Raw genomic sequence first — 26,794 nt, forward strand, 5'->3', positions numbered from 1 at the left:
TTTTTTTTTAAGCTCATCAGCTATCATTAGTGTTAGTGTATTTAATGTGTGGCCCAAGATAATAATTCTTCCAGTGTGGCCCTGGAAAGCCAAAAGATTGGACACCCCTGGTTTACAGTAAAGCATTCTAGAGAACAGGGGTCAGAAGGAAAAGTCTAGTGTGACCAGTAGTCCTAGTAGCAAGCTAATGATCATGGAATAGGAAATCTCTGTTGTAACTGGATTGCTTTTGCTGTTTTTTATGTTATATAGTTTTTTATGTTATATAGTTTATTTTTTAATTATTTTTATATTTTATTTAATTATTTTTATTATAGTTTATTTTTTAATTATACAATGATTCATTAATACATTCTCATCATCAATTTTCAAATAATTCAAAATAAACTTTTTAAAACCCAAGTTCACCTTCCCTCTCCATTTCCCTTCCCACTTCTCACTTACCCTTCACACTTACGCAGCCATCCCCTACCTCTACTTTTCCACAGATAACCATAAATGAAAATTTAGCCTTTAAGCTTCTAGGCCTTTTTCTGTGCATGTATATACATATACATATATTTATATACTAAATATAAATGATTATATGCATATTAGGTATAATGCTTTTATACTTCTTTTCTCTGTGTTATTTCTCCCTTTGTTTTCTTCAATATATAGGAAAGTGATTTTTTTTAAAATTATTTCATCCTTGGCTGGGTGCTGTGGCTACATCTGTAATCCCAGCACTTTGAGAGGCCAAGGTGGGAGGATCATTGAGCCCAGAAGTTCAAGACCAGCATGGGCAGGAGGATCACATAGTTTGAGACCCCATCTCTACAAAGAAAATAAAATAAAGTTAGCCAGGTGTGGTGGTATGGATATGTAGTCCCAGCTACTGGGGAGGCTGAGGCAGAAGGATCACATGAGCCCAGGAGTTTGAGGTTGCAGCGTGCTGTGCTCTCACCACCCCACTGCAGCCTGGGTGACAGAGTGAGATCCTGTCTCAAAAATAAATAAACAAAATAAAACAAATAAAATTTCATTCTGCCTTCAGTATAATAGACTAACCAAAGGAAGAGATTTTCCTGCTTTTATATCAGAATATTAAATGGTAGGATGACACTTTAGGGCTCAGTATGGGGGTGGCAGTGACAATCAACATGAGGAACAGAAGAGAAGACAAAATTCTGAGTAGTGGCCAGTAAGTCATTTCCCTCTCCCAACCTTTCAACTTCACATTCTCAGGCAAATCCTTGGAAGTACGAGTTATGTTTGATTAAATGAGGTAATTGTCCCTTATGACATTCCAAGTCCAAGAGAATATAGTGGAAGCTATGCTGCCTTTTCTGACCTAACTTCTGGAGTCACATACCATCACTTCTGTTGTATTCTCTTGGTCACACAGATTGATCCTAATTCAGTGTGGGAGAGTACTACACAAGGACATTCATACCAGGAGATGAGGATCATTGAGGGCCATGTTGGAAGCTGGCAGCCACAAGGGCATTCACTCAGTAGTGAATTTTGAGTGACTGACCCAATCTTTAAACAGATTCCCTCGTCACAGGTCAACAGAGTCCCTGGTTGACAACTACTAGGTAGATTTTACAAGAACAGCCAGAAAAATCTCTTCTTTGCCTCTCCTTAAGGAAAGAGAAGTTCTGGACAGCTATCCAACAGCAATATTCTGTTGTTAACCTATCTTATTTGTGAACAACTATATCCAACCCACCATACAAAGATTATTCATACCTCTCCCATGCTATGGGTCTGCAAAGTAATCTAGTCCCCCAAACTCACTTTTTGTTTTAGGTATTGTTTTGCCTTTTAGAAATCAGAATCTTTTAAACATTGTATATTAAATAAGTTATAAGAGGGCTGCCTTAGAATAACCAAACCCAAAATAATTTGGAGGGCGTGGGTTAAGTTTCCAGAATCCAATGAAGTAATTTTGAGGATGAAATTTGAAGCATCCAAAAAATAAATAGAAATTTGTACCATCAAATGCAATCAGATAAATAAGCAGAAAGTATAAACTTTTGAATATAGAAGGAAGTTAAATCCTCATGAGTTGCACCTATAACTTCATCCTGTAATGTTTTCTAGTAAAATAAGTACTTAAAACCATTTCATAATTTCAGTTCTTGATATATTTTAAAAGCAACCTTCTCTTTAAAATAGTGCTTTAGTTGGAAGAATTCTATTAATTCTGTCTACAAATTAATTACTTTTAAAGAATATTTTATTGCTTTATTAAAATATTTGAAATGTTTAAGATGAATTACACTTTATTCTAGTTAGAATTTTTAATGTTTTTTATGTTAAAACCAACTTTTGTTAGCAGATTTCACTTTCATATCTTTATTATAAGTTTAAAAGTCAAAATTAAATGAACATCAAGACATTTTATTAGTGATTTAAGATCATGTTAATTTTTTTTTTCCAGACAGAGCTTTGCTCTTGTCACCCAGGCTGGAGTGCAGTGGCACAATCTCGGCTAACTGCAACCTCTGCCTCCTGAGTTCAAGCAGTTCTCCTGCCTCAGTCTCCCGAGTAGCTGGGATTAAGGTGCCTGCCTCCACGCCTGGATAATTTTTGTATTTTTAGTAGAGACGGGGTTTCACTATGTTGGCCAGGCTGGTCTCGAACTCCTGACCTCGTGATCTGCCTGCCTCGGCATCCCAAAGTGCTGGGATTACAGGCGTGAGTCACCGCGCCTGGCCAATCAGATTAATCTTTACAGTTTCTGAATAGTTTACTTAATAAAATTCAGGATAAATGCTATATTAGCTCATTAAAGCACAAATATAAATATCTTCCGTGGGAAACTACTTGAAACAAACTTTCATATTTGTGCCGCATAATTTTTAAAGGCATTTAACTGGCCGGGTGCAGTGGCTCACACCTGTAATCCCAGCACTTTGGGAGGCGGAGGCAGGCGGATCACCTGAGGTCAAGAGTTTGAGACCAGTCTGGCCAACGTGATGAAACTCCGCCTCTACTAAAAATACAAAAATTAGCCAGGCACGGTGGCGGGTGCCTGTAATCCCAGTTACTCGGGCAGCTGAGGCAAGAGAATTGCTTGAACCCGGGAGGCAGAGGTTGCAGTGAGCCAAGATCGTGCCATTGTACTTCAGCCTGGGCGACAGAGAGAAACTCGGTCTCAAAAAAAAAAAAAAATTAATAAATAAATAAAGGCATTTAACCCTGACTCTCCCATGCTTCTAAGTTAAAATGAGTTAATAGAAATGTGTCTTTCCATTCACTTTCAGATCACCCTAAAAAAAAGAAAAACCAAAAGGCTTTCCCATTATTTATTTGCTTTCTTTTCTGGGGGTTTTTCCTGTTTGTCAGCTAACTACTGTAGGTAGCATTATTTTAATAAGAGTAAATAATAATGACAGTAACACAATAATATTGACCTCTATTCATATACTGCTAGGTTTTCTGTGTTTATTCATCTTGTGAGTATTATCACCATTTCATAGTTGATGCTGAAACTAAGAGAGGTTAAGTCACTTGTTCAAAGTTATACAGTAGGTGGCAGGGTTGGATATTGAATCCATCTCCAGAACCTGTACTCTTAACCACTAATACAGCATATTATTAAAATACTGTTTTCATTTTCTTTTCTTTTTCTTTCTTTTTTTTTTTTTTTTTTTTAGATAGGGCCTATCTCTGTTGCCCATGCTGGAGTGCACTGGCTTCACCCTCCAGAGTGGCTGAGACTACAGGTCATCATGCCCAGCTAATTTGTATGTATGTATGTATTTATTTATTTTAGAGACAGGATCTTGCCACGTTGCCCAGGCTGGTAGTCAAACTCATGGCTTCAAAAAATCTTCCTGCCTCATCCTCCCAAAGTGCTGGGATTACAGGTGTGAAGTATGGCACCCAGCCTAAAGTGTTTTTTGGACACATGTAGGGCAGTCCTGTTCCAACTGTTCATGTCCAAACATAGAGAATGAAAAGCATTGCTCTCTGTTTCACCTCTTGTCCTATTCCCCCAAATTTATAGGGGGCTGCTGTCACCTCTTATTCTGACTCACCTGTTTGGCTTTTTTTTTTTTCCCTTGAGAAGGGTCTGTCTGTCACCCAGGCTGCAGTGCAGTGGTGCAATCACAGTTCACCGCACCCTCGGCTTCCCGGCCTCAGGTGATCCTCTCACCTCAGTCTCCCAAGTAGCTGGGACCACAGGTGCCTGCCACCATGCCCAACTAATTTTTGTATTTTTTGTAGAGACAGGGTTTTGCCATGTTGCCCAGGCTGATCCTGAACTCCTGGGCTCAAGTGATCTTCCCACCTTGGCCTCCCAAAGTACAGGCATGAGCCACCATGCCAGGTGTGTTTGGCCTTTATGTTCTGCCTAACATGCCAGGCACTGCCAAAGTGCTTGGGTGCTTCTGACCATGTTCCTTATATCCCACTCTCCAGACATTCCCTTCACTAGTAGATGCCAACTAATTCCCTCTACTCCAGCCTGTGGCTTCTGTATCCTGCTCTCCCTGCTTCCCTTCTTGTCTGCCACATTAAGTTTGAGTAGACTTTCCATATCTGCTGGTGACACTGACTACTTAGCAAAAGAGAGAGAGAGAGAAATTTAAAGCCAGGACAAGAAACCAATCAATATGGAGGGTAAAAGGGTCATAGAAGGACCATGATTAAAATGTGAATACCAGCCAGGCGGTGGAGGCCCACCTGTAAGCTCAGCTACTCAGGAGGCTGAGGAGTAGGATCGCTTATGCCCAGGAGTTCTGGGCTATAGTGTGCTATGCCCAAGAGGTGTCTACACTAAGTTCAGCATCAATATGGTGACCTCCCAGGAGCAGGGGACCACCAGGTTACCTAAGGAGGAGTGAACCAACCTAGGTCAGAAACAGAGCAGGTCAAAACTCCCATGCTGATCAGTAGTGGGATCACACCTGTGAATGACCAGTGCTAAAGTGCTCTCCAGTCTGGGCAACATAGTGAGACAACTCCCCATAAATAATTTTTTTTTTTTAAATTCAGACAGAGTCTTGCTCTGTCACCCAGGCTAGAGTGCAGTGGCATGATCTCAGCTCACTGCAACTTCTGCCTCTTAGATTCAAGCAATTCTCCCACCTCAGCCTCCTGAGTAGCTGGGATTACAGGCACATACCACCACGCCCAGCTTTTTTTTTTTTTTTTTTTTAGTAGAAGCGGGGTTTTGCCATGTTGGCCAGATTGGTTATGAACTCCTGACCTCAAGTGATCCGCCCACCTCAGCCTCCCAAAGTGCTGGGATTACAGGCATGAGCCACCTCACCTGGCCTCCCATAAACAAATATTTTAAAATGTGAATACCAGAAAGTAGAGGATGGAAGGCTGGGCATGGTGGCTCACGCCTATAATCTCAGTACTTTGGAAGGTTGAGGTGGGTGGATTGCTTTGCCTAGGAGTTCGAGACCAGCCTGGGCAACATGGCGAAACCCATCTCTACAAAAAATACAAAAATTAGCCAGTGTGGTGGCATGCACCTGTAGTTGCAGGTACTCAGAAGGCTGAGAAGAGAGAATCACCTGAGTCAGGAAGTGGAGGCTGCAGTGAGCCATGATCGTGCCACTGCATTCCAGCGTGGCCAACGGAGAAAGACCCTGTATCAAAAAAAATTTTCTAATTAAAATAGAAAAGAAGGCCAGGCGCAGTGGCTCACACCTGTAATACCAACACTTTGGGAAGCCAAGGCGGGTGGATCATTTGAGGTCAGGAGTTCAAGACCAGTCTGGCCAACATGGTGAAACCCTGTCTCTACTAAAAATACAAAAATTAGGCCAGGCACAGTGGCTCACGCCTGTAATCCCAGCACTTTGGGAGGCCAAGGCAGGCAGATCACGAGGTCAGGAGATGGAGATCATCCTGGCTAACATGGTGAAACCCCATCTCTACTAAAAAAATTAGCTGGGTATGGTGCAGATGCCTGTAATCCCAGCTACTTGGGAGGCTGAGGCACGAGAATCACTTGAACCCAGGAGGCAGAGGTTGCAATGAGCCGAGATCGTGCCACTGCACTCCAGCCTGGAGACAGAGTGAGACTCCATCTCAAAAAAAAAAAAAAATATATATATATATATATATACACACACATATATGTGTATATATATACACAAAAATTAGCCAGGCGGTAGTGGTACGCACCTGTAATCCCAGGTGAGGCAGGAGAATCACTTGAGCCTGGGAGGTGGAGGTTGTCATGAGCCAAGATCACGCCACTGCACTCCAGTCTGGGTGACGGAGTGAGACCCTGTCTCAAAAAGAAAAAAAAGAAAGAAAGGAAAGGGGCTGGGTGCAGTAGCACACACCTGTAATTCCAGCACTTTGGGAGGCCGAGGAAGGTGGATCACCTGAGGTCAGGAGTTCGAGATCAGCCTGGCCAACATGGTGAAAGCTCGTCTCTACTAAAAATACAAAAATTAGCCGGGCATGGTGGTGGACGCCTATAATCCCAGCTACTCGGGAGGCTGAGGCAGGAGAATTGCTTGAACCAGGAGGTGGAGGCTGCAGTGAGCAGAGATCGCACCATGCACTCCAGCCTGGGTGACAGAGCTCCATCTAAAAAAAAGAAAAGAAAGAAAGAAAGAAAAGGATGGAATAAATGGGAAGAGGAGAGGAGAGTTTAAAAATACTGTAAATCCACATACAGACTGGAAACTCCCATAATAGAAAGGAAAATGGGAAATGAAAATAGGTTTATGGTTAAAATTAATATATAAGAGCTCATGAATAGGTATAGGTTGGGCGTGGTGGCTCACACCTGTAATCCCAGCACTTTGGGAGGCCGAGTCAGGTGGATCACCTGAGGTCAGGAATTTGAGACCAGCCTGACTAACATAGTGAAACCCTGCCTCTACTAAAAATACAAAGATTAGCTGGGCGTGATGTCGCATGCCTGTAATCCCAGCTACTCGGGAGGGCGAGACAGGAGAATCGCTTGAACCCGGGAGGCGGAGGTTGCAGTGAGCCGAGAGATCACACTGTTGCACTCCAGCCTGGGCAACAAGAATGAAACTCTGTCTCAAAAAAATAAATGAAATAAAAATAAAAAATGAATAGGTATAGTAATTGATAATATCTATACTTATATGTGGTCAGAGGCCTAAATACCAATGAAATACTTTTGAAATTTAGCATCTTCTTAATAGGTGCACTTTCTTTTTTTTTTTTTTTTTTGAGACGGAGTTTTGCTCTTGTTGCCCAGGCTGAAGCGCAGTGGTGTGATCTCAGCTCACTGCAACCTCTGCCTCCCAGGTTCAAGCGATGCCCCGTCTCAGCCTCCCGAGTCACTGGGATTACAGACATGTGCCACCACGCCCGGCTAATCTGTATTTTTTAGTAGAGACGGGGTTTCTTCATGTTGGTCAGGCTGGTCTCGAACTCCCAACTTCAGGTGATCCTCCCGCCTCTGCCTCACAAAGTGCTGGGATTACAGGCGTAAGCCACCGAGTCCGGTGGTGCCCTTTCTTTTTCTTTTTTTTTTTTTTTTTTGAGACAGAGTCTCACTCTGTCACCCAGGCTGGAGTGCAGTGGCGCTATCTTGGCTCACTGAAAGCTACACCTCCCAGGTTCACGCCATTCTCCTGCCTCAGCCTCCTGAGTAGCTGGGACTACAGGCGCCCGCCTGCCACCACGCCCGGCTAATATTTTGTATTTTTAGTAGAGACAGGGTTTCACCGTGTTAGCCAGGGTGGTCTGGATCTCCTGACCTTGTGATCCACGCGCCTCAGCCTCCCAAAGTGCTGGGATTACAGGCATGAGCCACTGCGCCGGGCCATGCACTTTCTTTTAATCCTCACAATCACCCAATCAGGAAGATACTATAGTATTATCATATTTTAGATTATGAAACTGACCTGGCTGGGCATAGTGGCTCATGGCCGGGCACGGTGGCTCTTGCCTGTAATCCTAGCACTTTGGGAGGCTGAGGCAGGCAGATCACTTGAGGTCAGGAGTTCAAGACCAGCCTGGCCAACATGGTGAAACCTTGTCTTTACTAAAAATACAAAAATTAGCCGGGTGTGGTGGCACGGGCCTGTAATCCCAGCTGTTCTGTGGATCGCAGCTGGATCGCAGCACTGCACTCCAGCCTGGGCGAAAGAGCGAGACACCATCTCAAAAAAAAAGAAAGAAAAAAGAAAGAAAAAGAAACTGACTTTTCCCAGAATCACCAGTAAGTGAGCAGGGGAAACTAGCTGACTCCAGGCTGCAAGTTCTTAACAGTCTGCCCAGCCTCCTCCTCCTCCTCCTCCTCCTCCTCATTATCATCCCCAGGGTGTCAGGCCAGCCTCTCCCTATAGTGTGCTCTCCTAAGGATAGATAATACCTCTGCCTAATACAGCTGAGCAGAAATGGAATTTGAATCCAGTTTTTCTTATTTTCACAGGCTCCCTTTTTGAGGTCACTGAAGTGAGAAGTGGGAAAGAGGAAGGTCTTAGGTGATGCCCTTGAGCCTAGAGGAAGGGATTTAGCAATAACGGGCTCTCTTTAATTAACTTGCTGAGTCAGGGCAGGAGGCAAGCAAACTAGTGAAGCTGAGGGGAAGAGAGGAAGTCAAGTATAGATTGACAGAGGCAGGCTTGGATCTAGTGAGGCAGGGAGAGATTGGGGAAATTAGGAAACTAAGGAAAATAGGAAAGAGCTAAAATTCATTAGCCAACAGTGGACTTGAATGTGGACAATTATCTACTTTATAACTTGGGGGTTTTCTGGTTTGGTTTTGTTGATAGAGTCTCACTCTGCCACCCAGGCTGGAGTTCAGTGGTACGATCATGACTCACTGCAGCCTGGATCTCCTGTGCTCAAGCAATCCTCCCACCTCAGCCTCCCAAGTAGCTGGAACTGCAGGTGCATGCCACCATCCCTAGCTAATTTTTTATTTTTTATGGAGACAGGGTTCTCACTATGTTGCCCAGACTGGTCTTGAACTCCTGGACTCAAGGGATCCTCCTGCCTCGGATTCCCAAAGTGCTGGGATTACAGGCATGAGACACCACACCCAGCCTACTTTATAATTTTGACTATAGCTAGCCGTGTCTGTATGTTCAAAATTATTTTGCTTTTCAGTTTTTCCTCAGGATGTCTTGTGTATTTTTATATGGTAGTTGACATTTACTATTAACCAATTTTGGTATTTTTCTAATATTTATGTGATAGAAAATTTAATTATTTTTATATTGTGTATTAAAAATTTCAGTCTTTAATATTTTTTATTTATCATTAGCCCAAAGAGCCCTTCAATCATTAATGTAATACTTGTTAAATTAGGCAGGAACTAGATATTAGGGTGTGCCTATAACATCAGTCCCGAATATCCAGATTAGATAAACTATTTAGTGCCTCTCAGGCCCTAATATACTGAACTCCCAAATGCCAGTATGCTGAGAACAGCAACGGAAAAAGTTTTACAGAAGATGCACATGTGGTTATCAGCACCAAGTGAATAGCCCTGAGCTTTTTTTTTTTTTTTTTCTTTTTGAGACGGAGTCTTGCTCTATCCCCAGGCTGGAGTGCAGTGGCACGATCTCTGCTCACTGCAACCTCCGCCTCCCAGGTTCAAGCGATTCTCCTGCCTCAGTCTCCCGAGTAGCTGGGACTACAGGCACGCACCACCACGCCCAGCTAATTTTTGTATTTTTAGTAGAGACAGGTTTCACCATGCTGGCCAGGATGGTCTCGATTTCTTGACCTCGTGCTCCACCCACCTTGGCCTCCCAAAGTGCTGAGATTACAGGCATTGAGCCACCATGCCCGGCCAGCACTGAGCTTTTTGAGTGTAGAGTTTTCAGACGACACAGAAGGTTTTGGTCTAAATGGTCTAGATACCTTGAAATGAGATTAAGAAGTAGTATCACGGACTGTGATATAAGTGACTGAATTTGTGGAATTCTCTTCCCACTGCAACATCTTTACAGTGATCCTGTTTTCTAGAATCAGATTTTTGGGATGAAATGAATGGAGTGAAAGGATGAAAAAGTAAGACAAAAAAGCAGGACTTTTTTGTATATTCCAGGCATTCTAGCTGTTTTTATTTTTGTAGGATAAACATTTTGAAGATGTGATTAGAGGAAAAAAAGAGAAGACAGATTACAATAAACATACATATATTTACCAGGGCTTAAGGCCATTTAGTCTACCAGGTAACAAACTTTTTTTTTTTAAGCTTTAGAATTTACAAAGTTCACATCAGTCTGAAACAAACATTTTATTTTTTTAAGCTTTAGAACTTACAAAGTTAACATCAGTCTGAAATGATAGCATTAAAAGGGTAGCATATGAAAAATCTCCTTTATAACATTTTATTTATTTATTTTTTATAGAGATGTTAGGGTCTCACTATGTTGCCCAGGGTGGTCTCAAACTCGTGAGCTCAAGCCATCCTCCCATCTCAGCCTCCCAAAGTACTGGGATTACAGGCATAAACCACCATGCCAGGTCTGAAAAATCTTCTTAACCAGCTATAACGAGGTAAAACATCTCTTTAAAAATATCTTAAAAGACAATAAATGAGCTTGAAATGCTATAAGGAAATATAGCCTCACTTAATAAATATAACTCAAAGCCTCCAAGGATTAACCCAAGAAAGCAAATTTCAAGTAACTGATTTACCTACTACCACTGTGACCCTCACTTTGATTATCACTTCTACCCCCATACTGGGCCATAAAAGGGTTCTGCTCCTGTTTAACATTCTTGCTTTACTCCCCAGTCTAATCTCATCAGTTCTGAGGCTCCCTACCAATTCCTTCTGTTCTCACACGCTTTCACTCCAGCCTCATTCTCTGACCACCAGGCCCTGGCTCTGCCCCAGCAGCCATACTTCTGCCATGTGACATTGCTCTCTTTGGCTATAGCCGAATGATTGAATCAGCAAGGTGTACCTCATCTAAGCTGGGCCTATCATACCTGTTCTTTCCAGAATTTGGAACTGGGACCAACAGGCCATCTACAGTCTCTTAATGTCTCTGGAATTTTGTATGCTGGTAGTTGTGAGAGAATCACAGTCTGCCGTATGGAAACTGAGAAGCAGGAAAAGCCCTTCTGCTGTGGCTTTGCCACAAGGAGACTCAGACATTAGAGAGCAGAGAGAAGTGTGTAGGTTCCTGGCAGCTTTCCGGACCCAGATCATTCTAATGGCTGGGGGGAGTCCACCTCTTATAAGGCCTGAAACTTAATACAATTTGAGGGAGGCCCTCTTTTTTAAATAAATAGAAAATTATGGGTACAAATAGAATATTTATTTAGAATGGGAAATAAATCACCAAAAATAACACTTTTTTTTTTTTTTTTTTTTTTTTTTAGATATAGTCTTGCTCTGTACCCAGATGGGAGTGCAGTGGTGCCATGGCTCACCTCAGCCCCAACTTCCTGGGCTCAAGTGATCCTCCCACCTCAGCCTCCCAAGAAGCTAGGACTACAGGCACTCACCAGCACACCCAGCTAAATTTTTTTGTTTGTTTGTTTGTTTGTTTTTGAGACAGAGTCTCGCTCTGTCGCCCAGGCTGGAGTGCAGTGGCGCGATCTCGGCTCACTGCAAGCTCCGCCTCTCGGGTTCACGCCATTCTCCTGCCTCAGCCTCCCAAGGAGCTGGGACTACAGGCACCCGCCACCACGCCTGGCTAATTTTTTTGTATTTTTAGTAAAGACGGGGTTTCACCGAGTTAGCCAGGATAGTCTCGATTTCCTGACCTCGTGATCCGCCAGCCCCGGCCTCCCAAAGTGCTGGGATTACAGGCGTGAGCCACCGCGCCCGGCCTACTCTCCCTTTTTAGCATAGGCTACATCAAGTTGGTTTCCATTTTTTGCAAACCAAAGTGTCTCAAACAAGGCTCTGTTATATTTTTCACAGATTACTGCATTAGCCCTGTAACAGGTAGGCTTAATTCTGTGTCCAATTCCAATTTGCTTTATATATGCTGTCCAGATTAATCTTCCTAAAGCATAGATGTGATGATGTTACTACTCAGAATCTCTGAGTACAAACTCCTCATCCTGGCATTGAAGGCCTCTGTACAATAGCCCCATGTCTATCTTTCCAGGCTTACTTCCCACCACTTTTCTTGGCGGAGTCTGGGCACCAGTCACAAATGGCTACAAACGGATCATGCCTGAACTTTCCCACCCATATGCCTTTGCTCAGGATACTTCTTCTACACAAAATTCCCTCTCTTGTTCTGTCAGAGCTGCATATTCTTCAGGGTTCATCTCAAATATTATCTCCACCATGAAGCTTTTATACATCCAAATATATCTCCACCATGAAGCTTTTCCTGATTTTCTGACACACCTCCCACCCTCCAAACTAAGTTTGATTTTTGCCCTCCTTTGATTCACTATAGCTTTTGGTTCTTACTTCATCCATGACACTGTAGTTTCTCTTTTTCTTTTTTTTCTTTTTTTTAAAGAGGGCCTCCTTAAATTGTATTAGGTTTCAGGCCTTTTAAAAGTTGCATAACTGGCCGGGCGCGGTGGTTCACACCTGTAATCTCAGCACTTTGGGAGGCCAAGGCAGGCAAATCACGAGGTCAGGAGATCGAGACCATCCTGGATAACATGGTGAAACCCCGTCTCTATTAAAAATACAAAAAATTAGCCAGGCATGGTGGCAGGCGCCTATAGTCCCAGCTACTCGGGAGGCTGAGGCAGGAGAATGGCATGAACCCAGGAGACACAGCTTGCAGTGAGTGAGATCACAGCACTGCACCCCAGCTGGGCGACCGAGTAAGACTCCGTCTCAAAAAAAAAAAAAAGTTGCATAACCTTGGCCAAGTTATTTAATCACATATTTTTTTAATCTCCATTTATGCTTACAAAAAGGAACAACAATAAGGCCAAACGAATAAGCTTGTTGTAAAGATTAAATTAATCTGTAAAATAATATTCTTACCTTCTAGGTTTTTAATGAAAACTAAATGAGTTAATATTTATTTTATTTATTTATTTAGTGATTTATCTGAGATGGAGTTTCATTCTTGTTGCCCAGGCTGGAGTGCCTCAGCCTCCCGAGTAGCTGGGATTACAGGCACCCACCACCACGCCCAGCTAATTTTTTATATTTTTAGTAGAGACAGGGTTTCACCATGTTGGCCAGGCTGGTCTCAAACTCCTGATCTTAGGCGATCTGCCCACCTCAGCCTCCCAAAGTGCTGGGATTACAGGCGTGAGCCACTGTGCCTGGCCAAGTTAATATTTAAAAAGCACTTAGAATAGTGTCCTGGCTTATATGGGTGCTCTATAAATATTAGCTATTATTACTTGTCCTATGTCCTCATCTATAAAATGGGGATAATAATAGTTCCTTTTTCATATACTTGTAAAGGATTGACTGAGAATAACTTAGATCAGTTCCTATCACAAAGTAAATGCTCTATAAGGGTTGGTCATTATTATTAGGAAGGCCTCTATTGTGTCCTCTCTATTGCAACTTTCCTGAGGACAGCAGCATTACTTTTTACAACTTTGTGTCCAGCAGTGACTCAAATAATGTCTGGTACATAGGAGTAACTCAAAAATGTGTTGTAGGCCACATGGATAGCTGGCACTGGGCTGGTGGTGACAGTGGGGGCTGGAAGAGCTGCAGGTCCCTAGGGACACGAAACGGGCATGCAGGAGATTAGAAGCCAGTAGGCACCAGTGTGGCTGCCACCAAATGAACACCTGTTCCCTGGCATCCTGGGCCTCAGAGGACCAGGAGCTTCCCCTTCCATCCTGCCCTTTACACTGAGGCCAGAGAGTGGCAAGGGGAGGACAAGTGCAGGGGTTCCTCGCAAAGGTGGAAGGAACTTGGCCCGGCCTTGTCCAAGATGTTTTTCAGGGGAATCTGGTCATTTTAACTATACTGAGATGCATTAGAAGATGCAAGCTGGAAAAAGGAAGATTCCAATTTGTGTTTTGAACTCTTGGTGGTACAGCAAATGTAAATCTCTTACAGATGGATCTGGGAACCCACTTGTCCAAAGAGCTGCCCAGCGTTCCCTGCTAGAGGTTTGTGTGTCCTCTCATTCAGGTAATCCCACCATCCTCTGCGAGAGAGCCAGAAGAATCCACCTCACTTCAAAAGAGCCTCCAAATCATTGCTACTCACTACAGCCTCCTTTCAAATGTATTTTGCTTGAGAGAGGATCAATTGCATTATTTAAAAGTTTAAAAAATTTTGTAGTCGAGTGTGGTGGTTCACACCTGTAGTCCCAGATACTCAGGAGGCTGAGGTGGGAGGATAGCTTGAGCCCTGAAATTCGAGGCTGCAGTGAGCAATGATCACGCCACTGCACTCTAGCCTGGTAACAGAGCAAGACCCCGTCTAAAAAAGAAAAAAAAATTAGTAGCCAACCTATGAGGCTTGGGAACCTGTGGCTTATAGAATTATATCCAAATGCAGTCTCGCTGTTATACTTTTCTGTTATTTTGTGGAGGTATCCAGGGCTGCTTACTTATGCTTTTTTTTATTTTAATCTTTTTATTTTTCTCAGAATGTAAGCTTACATCCTTTTTTTTTTTGAGACAGAGTCTTGCTCTGTCACTCAGGCTGGAGTGCAGTGGCACGATCTTGGCTCGCTGCAACCTCCACCTCCCAGGTTCCAGCAATTCTCCTGCCTCAGCCTCCCGAGTAGCTGGGATTACAGATGCATGCCACCATGCCCGGCTAATTTTTGTATTTTTAGTAGAGACAATGTTTCACCATGTTGGCCAGGCTGGTCTCCAACTCCTGACCTCAAGTGATCCACCTGCCTCCGCCTCCCAAAGTGCTAGGATTAAAGGGTGAGCCACCACGCCCAGCCCATACTCTTTTAAATTAAAAGACTTCTTTTTGGCCAGGCATGGTGGCTCACGCCTGTAATCCCAGCACTTTGGGAGGCTGAGGCGGGTAAATCATGAGGTCAGGAGATCAAGACCATCCTGGCTAACACAGTGAAACCCCGTCTCTACTAAAAATACAAAAAATTAGCTGGGTGTGGTGGTGGGTGCCTGTAGTCCCAGCTACTCAGGAGACTGAGGCAGGAGAATGGTGTGAACCCAGGAGGCGGAGCTTGCAGTGAGCCAAGATTGCACCACTGCACTCCAGCCTGGGTGACAGAGCGAGATTCTGTCTCAAAAAAAAAAAAAAAAAAAAAGACTTCTTTTTATATTTAAAAAAAATTATTGTAAAATCACCTTTCTCCACCCAAATATTGAAATGCATTGATTTTAACTTTTACAAGTTCATAAAGAAATGAAATGTATATTCATGGATACCTGAGTGACTTTTCTATCAATTCTTTTTTTGGACACAGGATCTCCGTCTGTTCCCCAGGCTGGAGTACAGTGGTACGATCATGGCTCACTGCAGCCTTGACCTCCCGGGCCCAAGTGATCCTCCCACTTCAGCCTCCTGAGTAGTTGGGACTATGGGTGCATGCTGTCACACCTGGCTAATTTTTGTATTTTTTGTAGAAACAAGGTCTCACTATATTGCCCAGGCTGGTCTCAAACTCCTGGGCTCAAGCAATCATCTTACCTCGGCCTCCCAAAGTGCTGAGATTATAGGCATGAGCCACCATGACAGGCCCCTTGTATCCTAATGTAAACCAAAAAGTGTCTGAGACAGATCTCAATTGATTTAGAGGTTTATTCTGCCAGGGTTGAGAATGTTCCTGGGAAGAAGAAACAGAAGTTCAGTAGTACTCGTGGCCTGTGCTTTTTCCAAAGAGGGTTTTGAGAACTTCAGTATTTAATGGGGAAAAAGTGAGCAGGAGGGGAAGAAGGGAAAAAAGTGGAAAGGGCAGACAATGAGGTGACTCTTCATATTCTTGTAAGGCTTTGAATAGCGCTCACTGAATCCATGTTTTACACGTGAAAGGAGGGAGTAGAGGAACAGTCAATTATGCATTCATCTCTGCTCAGTAAATCTACATTTTACATAACATAAACAGAGTAGAGGAAGAAGCCAAATATGCATTTGTCTCAGGGTAGGCAGTGGGATGATTTCTAGTCTTGTCTTTGTGCTGTACCTATGAAGATAAGCTGTTAATTTACATTGTCAGGGTGAGACTTAACAGAGCTCTGTTTTAGGGTTAGTTTGTAGGGGAGGTACGTATTCTGAAAGATTTTGGGGCCCACAAGGAATTTCCTTGGAAGCAATTGGTGAGGGAGTCCTCCTGGGGACATATGTGACCTTCTATCTGTGGTGGGAACAAAAAGGAAGGCAGGTTTTTATGTTGTTGTTGTCGTTGTTATTGCTGTTGTTGTTTTGCATAACTAAGTTCTCAAGCTTAACATTCCTTTTGGCATAGAGAATTTGGGAGAGCCAAGATTTTATTTCCCTTTCATACTATCTAAAATTTAAGGTTGTCAAACAAAAATACAAATTTTGTCCTTTCTTATCTGGAGATATATTTTTTTAAAAAAAATAAGGTTAGTCTTTTTTCTCATTATAAAAGTAACATATGGTGATATGGTTTGGCTGTGTCCCCACCCAAATCTCATCCTGAATTCCCACGTGTTGTGAGAGAGACCCATTAGGAGGTAATTGAATCATGGGGGCAAGTCTTTCCCATGCTGTTCTCATGATAGTGAATAAGTTTCTCAAGATCTGATGGTTTTAAAAAGAGGAATTCCCCTACACAAGCTCTCTCTCTTTGCCTGCTGCCATCCATGGAAGATGTGACTTGCTCTTCCTTGCCTTCCACCATGATTGCGAGGCTTCCCCAGTCACGTGGAACTGTAAGTCCAATTAAACCTCTTTCTTTTGTAAATTGCCCAGTCTCGGGTGTGTCTTTATCAGCAATATGAAAATGGACTAATACACATGTCCATTTTGAAAAAGTTTTTAAATGCAAGAGAATGAACTATGTCTTCTTTTTTTTTTTTTTGAGACAGAGTTTCACTCTTGTTGCCCAGGCTGGAGTGCAATGGCGTGATCTTGGCTCACTGCATCCTCCGCCTCCCAGGTTCAAGCAATTCTCCTGCCTCAGCCTCCCGAGTAGCTGGGATTACAGGCATGCACCACCATGCCCAGCTAATTTTGTATTTTTAGTAGAGATGGGGTTTCTCCATGTTGGTCAGGCTGGTCTTGAACCCCTAACCTCAGGTGATCCACCTGCCTCAGCCTCCCAAAGTGCTGGGATTACAGGTGTGAGCCACTGCGCCCAGCCGAGCTATGTCTCTTAAAATCATAAAGTAGGCCAGGTGCAATGGCTCATGCCTATAATCCCAGCACTTTGGGAGGTTGAGGCAGGAGGATTGCTTGAGCCCAGGAGCTTAAGACCAGTCTGGGCAACATGGAGAGACCCGTTTCTAATAAAAAAGAAATAAACAATGAAAAATAAAATTATAAAGTAAATTAATCCCTAGCCTCCCTAATGCAGAGATCACTCACAATAGTATCCCAGTGTGAAGAGTGTATATTGAAAATTAATTAGTGATGAAGGTAATAGAACTGTGATTGCACCTTTGAAATCACCTTTGTAAAAATTATAACAGTGAAAAAGGGATGACAATGAAAGAGATCTAACCAACTCCATCTTTCCTTTAACAGCTCCAGACTGCCCTTGTTCATTCCTGAGCATAGACTGAGCTAACTGCAGGAGGAGTTTAGTTTATAGTTTAACTTTGAAACAAAGATGATAACAACCCTTTCCCATACCAAGCCCCCATCTTGTCTGGGGACCAGAACACCTTTGTAAGACTAACAAATTAGCCACAAGATTAGAAATTATGGTTTAGGAGTCATGCAGCCAGAAGCTACAAGATTCCTAACCTCTCCAGTTGCTCCTAGGGATTGCCTAACTATTGAAAGAACTAAGATTAGTGTTTGAGATATTTTTCAAAGTCTGCATCATTTAATGCACCAGCTGGTGCCACCCAGACCAGTAATCTGACTCAGCCAGTTCAGTGATCCCACCCAGGAATGGAAGACAGCAAGAACCCGCTTTGACCCCCTATGATTTCATCCCCAACCCAACCAATCAGCACTTCCCACTCCCTAACCCCCTACCCACCAAATTATTCTTTAAAAACTCAGTCTCCAAATTTTGCAGGAGACTGATCTGAGTAATAAAACTCTGGTCTCCTGTTTAGTGGGTTCTGCATACATGAAACTCTTTCTCTATTAAAACTTCCCTGTCTTCATAAATTGGCTCAGCCAGGCACAGTGGCTCATGCCTGTAATCCCAGCACTTTGGGAGGCCAAGGTGGGCAGATTATGAGGTCACGAGTTCGAGACCAGCCTGGCCAACATGGTAAAACCCAGTCTCTACTAAAAAAAAAAATTAGCTGGGCATGGTGACAGGCACCTGTAATCCCAGCTACTTGGGAGGCTGAGGCAGGAGAATTGTTTGAACCTGGGAGGCAGAGATTGCAGTGAGCCAAGATCATGGCATTGCACTCCAGCCTGGGTGACAGGGCAAGACTCCGTTTCAAAATAAATAAATAGGCTCTATCTGGGCAGCAGGCAAGGAGAACCTATTGGGCACTTACACTTTTAGGGGAAAAAAAGAAAAAAGGAGGAAGATTTTTCACTTTACCCGTTGAATTATCAGGATTCTTACTGGCATGTGACAAAAATTAGTTTGAGCCAGCTTAGTCAAAGATGTAAATTTATTGGCTCACATAACCTGACAAAGATTATTTATTTGACCAATCCTCAAACTCCTGGACCTTCTCCTAGGCTCATCTGTGTACTTCCTTATGAAATCTAGTTTTAGCAAGAACTGTGCTAAGTCTGTTAAGCAAGAACCCCCCACCCTGGATATCTGATACTTCTATATCATATTGGGTTCCTCATCTTTCAGCATCCTGCAAGGGATGTCTGATCACCCTGGTCTGTCTTCAGCAAGAATCCTGTTAGGTCAGTTTAGCCAAAATCCCCCTTGCCCTTGATGTTTCCTCTTAGTGATTTTCAACCCACTGACCCCCGCCCTTCTCCTTGGCTATAAATTTCTACTTGTCCTTGCTGTACTGGAAGTTGAATTCAATCTCTGTACCCTACTGAAAAATCGCATTGCAGTAGTCCCTACATGTAGGGTGATGGTTTGAATAAAGTCTGCCTTTAACAAGAGTCATTGAATTTTTTTTACTTTAAAGAACCAAACAGCCTGGATGCGGTGGCTCATGCCTGTAATCCCAACACTGGGAGGCCGAGGCGGGCAGATCATGAGGTCAGGAGATTGAGACCATCCTGGCTAACATGGTGAAACCCCATGTCTACTAAAAATACAAAAAATTAGCCAGGCGTGGTGGCACACGCCTGTAGTCCCAGCTACTTGGGAGGCTGAGGCACGAGAATCACTTGAACTTGGGAGGTGGAGGTTGCAGTGAGCCGAGATTGTGCCACTGCACTCCAGCCTAGGCGACAAAGCAAACTCCATCTCAAAAAAAAAAAAAAAAAAGAAAAAAAAAAGAACAGAAAAAAGAACCAAATTTGCAGTGAGCTGTTATTATGTCACTGTACTCCAGCCTGGGTGACAGAGTTGAGACCGTGTCTCTAAAAAGAAAAAAAACAAACCAAACCACGGGACAGGCAAGGACAACTGTAATAAAACCTTTCATTTTCAGGTTGCTCCCTCCGCATTGTTCTCTGCTTCTCTTGATAGCTTCAGTTTTTTTCTCTCAACCTAGCTTGCTACATAAGAGATGTTAAGCCTTGGCTGGTCCAAAGCTGGTGAGTTATTAATATCTCAACTGATTGTTCAGAGGCAGTTATAGATCGAACTTCTTGTTCTCCTCTCTCCCTCCTTCTCACTACTACACTTGACTAGTCTTGAAGTTTAAAAAGAGATGTTACAGTCCTCAGACCCACATCCTCACATGGACCTTGTGGATAGAGTGAGAGTGGATCAATTCTCAACAAAAACAGGAGTGCTGTTTCTAGAAGAAAAGAAAAATGTAGAGAGGGAAAAAAATGTTCAATAAAGTTTGTTCCTTGGCTGCACACCGCCCTCCGCCATCACCCACACTCATAGACATACGCTTTATCCCATACATACAGTTTCAAAACTTCCTTGTCTAGCCACTATGTGGCCACCCGTATTCTTGTCCCAGCTCCAGAATCTTTATGTCATGTCAATTCATGGTCAGGATGGATGAATTTCCTTACTTCATTACAACCTACAAATAAACAATAAATCTGAATATTCTCAATGCACCAACATATACAATGGTGGAGAAAAAAATAAGCATTACTTCAAAAGGAATGTCCAAAAGGGGAAAATGGAAAACTACACTGAGAGCGTAGACCACTTCTTTCTGGAGAGGGATAGCATGTATTTTGTAGACTCACTTAAACCATTCAACCTTGGAGAGAGTTTTGTAGAGGATACAATGAAGGTTCTAAATGTCTACAGATATCCTAGTTCAATGGGAAGAATCACAAATTTATAGATAGGTTACAGTTGCTGCAGTTTACGTATGGTGACTTTTTGAGCCCCAAACTTTTCAGAGACTGCTTGGACATTACTGAATCCAGTGGCATTTAAATTAAGTGGAGATTAGAAAAGCAAAGGAAAAAAGTGAAGGAAAGAAGAAAGGAAGAAAAGATGGGCCCAAAAAAAGGAAACAATGACTTGTTATCTTTTACAATGATGGGCATCTTAACTTGACTTTTTTAACAACACATTATTTTATTGTATGCAAGATTTTAGGCAGATTGAAGTACAGGGCAAATAAACTTCTATTTTATTTATTTATTTATTTATTTTTAAAATTTCCTTTGTTCAAATGGAGTCTCAGTCTGTTGCCCAGGCTGCTCTGGAACCCCTAGGCTCAAACAATCCTCAGCCTTGCGAAGTGCTGGGATTATAAGCATGAGCCACTGCATCCGGCCTAAAGAAACTTCTAAAAGAAAAATAGGAAATCCTTCTTTTTATCAAGGAAATTCCTTCGTGTTCTTTCTTTATTTTTATGAAGTAACAAATTTAAAAAATTGTTGGTCAGTATGAATATTGACCAAAAAAAAGCAAATCCATGAAATAGCTATTATCAAAAGAGCATCTTGAAAAAAAAGAGATATGTTAAGGTGGCAGCAGAGGCAAGCAGATGAACAGTACAGTCAATTATTTCTTTCTAGATTGACCCCTTTGGTTTTTAGATGTAAGTTCAATGAGTTCATTTCAAGCCAGAGCAACCAGCTGAAGGGGTGCTGGACCATATTTAACCCAGAGATTCCTGCTATTAGAGAAGTATCTGTCCAAACTAAAGGATTAGGGTGGAGGGAGGGGAATGGAAACAAGCATGTTGAGTAATTTCTTATTTAGAATGTTAGGGTCAATGGATTCATAAATCATAGCATCCTGCATAGAGCATCATGAGATGGCAAAACTTACTACATACAATTCAAAAATGTTAAAATTTTATGAAAGTTAAGTTTATACAACTCAGAAAATATGTTGTTTTTCAAATAAAGTTGACTACTACATTATTCACATATAATTCATTCAATTTGGCCAGGCACATTGGCTCACACCTGTAATCCTAGCACTGTGGGAGGCTGAGACAGGCAGATCACCTGAGGTCAGGGGTTTGAGACCAGCCTGGCCAACATGGCAAAACCCTGTCTCTACTAAAAACACAAATATTAGCTGGGTGTGGTGGTGGGCACCTGTAATCCTAGCTACTCAGGAGGCTGAGGCGGGGGAATCACTGGAACCCAGGAGGCGGCGGTAGCAGTGAGCTGAGATTGTGCACTGCACTCCAGCCTGGGTGACAGAGTGAGACTCCATCTCAAAAAATAATAATAATTCATTCAATTCTAAGCATAAAATTGTAGTTAAAATTAAAAATAGAATTGGATTTATAAAAAAAAAAAGGTCAACCGGATTATTGGTGCCAAATTTTAAAACTCTGACTATTGTAGCCTCATTTGTATTTATTTATTTAAGAAGAGAAGAATGTAACCAAATGCAAGTCGGTTGCTCACCACTTGTAAGTCAATACATGAGAAGTAAGATGTAGTGAAAGGAGGCCGGGCGAGGTGGCTCACGCCTGTAATCCCAGCACTTTGGGAGGCCAAGGTGGGCGGATCACCTGAAGTCAGGAGTTCGAGACCAGCCTCAACATGGAGAAACCCCATCTCTACTCAAAATACAAAAAAAAATTAGCCGAGCATGGTGGTGCATGCCTGTAATCCCGGCTACTTGGGAGGCTGAGGCAGGAGAATTGCTTGAACCTGGGAAGCGGAGGTTGTGGTGAGCCGAGATGGCGCCATTGCACTCCAGCCTGGGCAACAAGAGGGTAACTCAGTCTCAAAAAAAAAAAAAAAAAAAAAGATGTAGTGAAAGGAGAGCAGCTTTATTATCCAAATGCTAGTAGATGAGAAATGGCAAGGCTGATGCCTCCAAATGACCATTTCAAGTGTTAGGCTGAGGGAAGGGATTAAAAAGGCAAGCCTTTATATGGGAAACATCCGAGAGTAACACAGGATACAGATCTGCATATCTTGTTCTAACAGCTGTCCTGAGTTGTGGTCTACCTGGAGCATGCGCTGGTGCCATCTCCATGTGGCCAGACTGTAGATTACCCATTTTGAGGCAGTCTTTAAGTGGGAGCAAATTCTGCAGCTGGGCTTCCATGCTGGGTTCATTTTAAAATTAGCCCCTGGAATTTCTTAACAAGCATATAGTTAGATAAGTGTACACAGTGTAAGGGAGTGTATGCTGGCAAAAGGAGAAACATGGAACTTAAAGTACACTTAATGGATATATATATATATATATATATATATAGTTTTTTTTTTGAGACAGAGTCTTGTTCTATCACCCATGCTGGAATGCAGTGTTGTGATTTCCACTCAATACAACCTCCCCTTCCCGGGTTCAAGTGATTCTCCTGCCTCGGCCTCCTGAGTAGCTGGGATTACAGGAGTGTGCCACCATTCCTGGCTTATTTTTGTATTTTTAGTAGAGACAGGGTTTTATGTAGGCCAGGCTGGTCTTGAACTCCTGACCTCGAATGATGCTCCTGCCTTAGCCTCCCAAAGTGCTGGGATTACAGGCATGAGCCACTGCTCCTGGCTTTTTTCTTTTGTCTTTTTTGATATAGAGTCTTGCTCTGTCACCCAGGCTGCAGCGCAGTGGCGCGATCTCAGCTTACTGCAACCTCGGCCTCCCAGGCTCAAGCAATTCTCATGCCTCAGCCTCCAGAGTAGCTGGGATTACAGACGTGCACCACCACATCTGGCTAATTTTTGTATTTTTAGCAGAAACGGGTTTTCATTATGTTGGCCAGGCTGGTCTTGAAGTCCTGGCCTCAAGTGATCCACCCGACTCAGCCTCCCAAAGTGCTGGGATTGCAGGCATGAGCCACTGCGCCCAGCCTTCATGGCTATATTTTAAGACTAAGGAAAAAAAATTTCCATAGTTTTCTTCAAGGTTACATCTTGAGACTAGAGAGAAAGGAAAAAATAATTTTAAATGCATTTTGAAGCTATGCTACTAAGTTATTGGAATAGAGAAACTGTAGCAGTTAAAAGAAAAATTGCAACATTATGTTGATCTGTATGGAAAAATGTGCATAATAGCATTGTCACTATAAAATATAATTTCAATATTTACAAAAGTAATGTAAATCACTTAAAATTTTTTTCCTGTACTTCTGTTTTAAGGCTATAAAACAACTGCTATTCCTCAGACACCAGCCTCTCAGATTTTTACCCTTAGTGCTTTTGAATATTGTCTTTGCAATTACTAAAGACAGTGTGCAAATGACTTCCCTGATCCCCAGATACATATATCAAAAGTAGTTTAATGATTTTGTTGAAAATGAAAATAAAATTACTTTCACATTGAAACTTTCCTTTCTTATTCTTATATCCAAAGGTGGGTGGCTGGGGAAGGAATCTGTAAACATTTGGAGTGAAAAGGATATTCAGTAATTTTAGTAACTGTTAATAAATTATTTTAAAAGTTAACATAGAATTGGGCTTATTTAAATTAGATGGCTGTGCATTTTAGACACATTATTAAATTTGCCGCTTAACTGATTGGTTGCGTATTTTTCCATGACCAAAAAATACGTTCTGGATGTATGATGTCCACTAGCAACTTAGCCATATGTGGCTTTTGAGCACTTTTAATGTAGCTTGTCCAAATTGAGATGTGCTATAAGAGTAAAATACTCCTTATTTCAAAGACTTAGTACTAAAAAAAGAAGGTAAAATAGGTTATTAATAACTGTTCATTGATGACTTGATATCAGGTAATATTTTGAATTACTGAGTAAAGTAAAATATACTTGAAAAATTAATTTCATCTCTTTCTTTTTACTTTTTAAAAAATGTAGGCAGGGTGCGGTGGTTCATGCCTGTAATCCCAGCACTTTGGGAGGCCAAAGCAGGCTGATCACGAGGTCAGGAGTTCGAGACCAGCCTAGCCAACATAGTGAAATCCCATCTCTACTAAAAATACAAAAAATTAACTGGGCGTGGTGGCAGGCACCTGTAATCCCAGCTACTTGGGAGGCTGAGGCAGGAGAATCGCTTGAACCTGGGAAGTGGAGGTTGCAGTGAGCCGAGATTGTGCTGTTGCACTCCAGCCTCGGTGACAGTGTGAGACTCCATCTCAAAAAATAAATAAATAAATAAATAATTAAAAATGTGACTACTAAAACATTAAAAATTACCCACAGAGTTGGCACTCCATTTCTGCTGGACAGTGCTGCTCTGAACAGGCTTTCTTACAGCAGGAAGAGCTTAGCCCTTGTTCAAATGTCCTGCAGTGGGGAAGAGTGTGGGCAGTTCTCTTGGAGAAGGAAAATCTCAGATGTAAAAATCAAGAAATTATTCTTACAGTGGGATATTGAAATATTTGTTTTGAACTGTATGACCCTAAAATTTGCTCTATCATGTTATGAAGTTTTACTTTATTGATTTAACCAGGAAAAACTAAATTCCTGACCCTCCTCCCAATAATTTACCTACAATATTTGAAAAGTAATTTTCCAATGTAGAAAAAAAGCATAAACTATGATATTTTTCCTTCTAGAATAGAATTTTATAAAATTTATTGAAAGACTTTCATGTTAAAAAAATTAAAATGGAAGGAAATGTCAGTAAGACAAAAACTATTTGCTTCTTCATAGTCCAGCCTTTTTGTCCATTTCTTTAGAAAATGAAACACAGAGCTGGGCACAGTGGCTCATGCCTGTAATCCCAGCACTTTGGGGAGGCCAAGGCAGGTGGATCACTTGAGGTCAGGAGTTCCAGAGCAGCCTGGCCAACACGGTGAAACCCCGTCTCTACTAAAAAATACAAAAATTAGCCGGAGGTGGTGATGCATGCCTGTAATCCCAGCTACTCAGGAGGCTGAGGCAGGAGAATCGCTTGAACCCGGGAGGTGGAGGTTGTACTGAGCAGAGATCACACCACTGCACTCCAGCCTAGGTGACAGAGCAAGACTCCATCTCAAAAAAAAAAAAAAAAGAATAAAAGAAAAGAAACACAGAAAGGACCTTTTCAGTTACTTCTTTCCTTTGTTTACACTTGGCACTTATATTTAGTATGCAGTCTACCTCTTTCAGTCCTCTCAAGTCCACCCCTCCTTTGCAACATCATTCACAAATTCTACCTTATGCACCAAATCCCAGTTGCTTTCCAGCATGGAAAGAGAAATCACACAAATATTCACTTCCTTCCTGACTTACAGTTTTCCTTTTCAAATTGCAATTGGGTTTCATTATAAATTCTCATCCACCAATTGTCCCTCTATCCTTCTGCTTCAGTTTTCTCCCTCTCCCTCCCCTTCATGCCATCTTCTCTCTCCCTCTCCCCTCCCTCTGGTGAGCATGGTGTTTGAAGCTCTCTGACTTGGTGCCCCTCTTCTGTTTAAATCTTTCAGTACACACCTAGGCAAGTTATTCTCAAGCAGCCTGAAATAGCTTTAAACTGTTGGGAACAAACCTAGTAGAATTCAAAAGGACTTCATTTGTATTACCCTGACAACAGCATGTCTGAAAATTAGATTTGTCTCAGCCAGGCGTGGTGGCTCACGCCTGTAATCCTAGCACTTTGGGAGGCCGAGGTGGGCGGATTGCCTGAGCTCAGGAGTTCGAGACCAGCCTGGGCAACATGGTGAAACCCTGTCTCTACTAAAATACAAAAAATTAGCTGGGCATGGCAGCGTGTGCCTGTAGTCCCAGCTACATGGGAGGCTGAGGCAGGAGAATTGCTTGAACCCAGGAGGCGGAGGTTGGAGTGCGCCAAGATCGCGCCACTGCACTCCAGCCTGAGTGACAGAATGAGACTCCGTTTCAAAAAAAAAAAAAAGAAAAAGATTTGTCTCATTTTCCAATATCTTTTAAATTCCTAATATTTCTGATTTAGTGACTGTCAACAGTCTTTTATAGGTCAACAAAACCAAGTTTGCTTGCTTTCTCCTGAAACAGGGTATACTACCTATCTTGTTACACCAATGTTGAAATTTTTTAAAGTTGTTCTGACAAGAGAATGCTTGTTTAAATTTGTACCATGTCTTTTTGATGACACTCCCATTGCCTCCTCTCTTTATTTGCTGCAGTGGTGGAGGGGAACAGAGGAAAACATATTTCCTTCTAACCGGACTATAACTGGGTGGGAAGGGGTAAAAATGCTAGTTCAGAAGCATGTGGGGCAGAGACACTCATAAAATAGAGAACGGAAGTGCTGTCAAGGACACACTGTGAATGGCCACTCAGAGTTCCTTCCTCAGCATGCCTTTGACTTCACTTCTGTCCTCCATGACCCAAACTCAAATGGACAAAGCAGACTCCCAGAACTGACAATCCGCACTGTGAGAAGTGAAGGTAAATTAGTCATCACTTTACAGGTTTCAGTTTGTAAAGTGTCCTTGACACTTGA

The 26,794-nt window shown here is 42.3% G+C and overlaps 1 long non-coding RNA gene and 1 pseudogene across 1 annotated transcript in view, besides 1 other annotated feature; both read left to right on the plus strand.

Moving 5' to 3' along the window:
* Nucleotides 1-26,794, plus strand: part of LOC105379412 (uncharacterized) — a 69,678-nt gene that overhangs the window by 4,626 nt on the left and 38,258 nt on the right. The window lies entirely within an intron of this gene.
* Nucleotides 3,463-3,572: a silencer, noted in NCBI's record as "silent region_15698". NCBI's record gives its function as "represses an Ori minimal core promoter by ATAC-STARR-seq in GM12878 lymphoblastoid cells {active_cell/tissue: GM12878}" and the evidence as "EXISTENCE:reporter gene assay evidence [ECO:0000049][PMID:35858748]".
* RN7SL311P (RNA, 7SL, cytoplasmic 311, pseudogene) lies at nucleotides 4,661-4,966 on the plus strand (annotated as a pseudogene).

Source organism: Homo sapiens, chromosome 4 (assembly GCF_000001405.40).
Source record: "Homo sapiens chromosome 4, GRCh38.p14 Primary Assembly".
Lineage (NCBI taxonomy): Eukaryota > Metazoa > Chordata > Mammalia > Primates > Hominidae > Homo > Homo sapiens.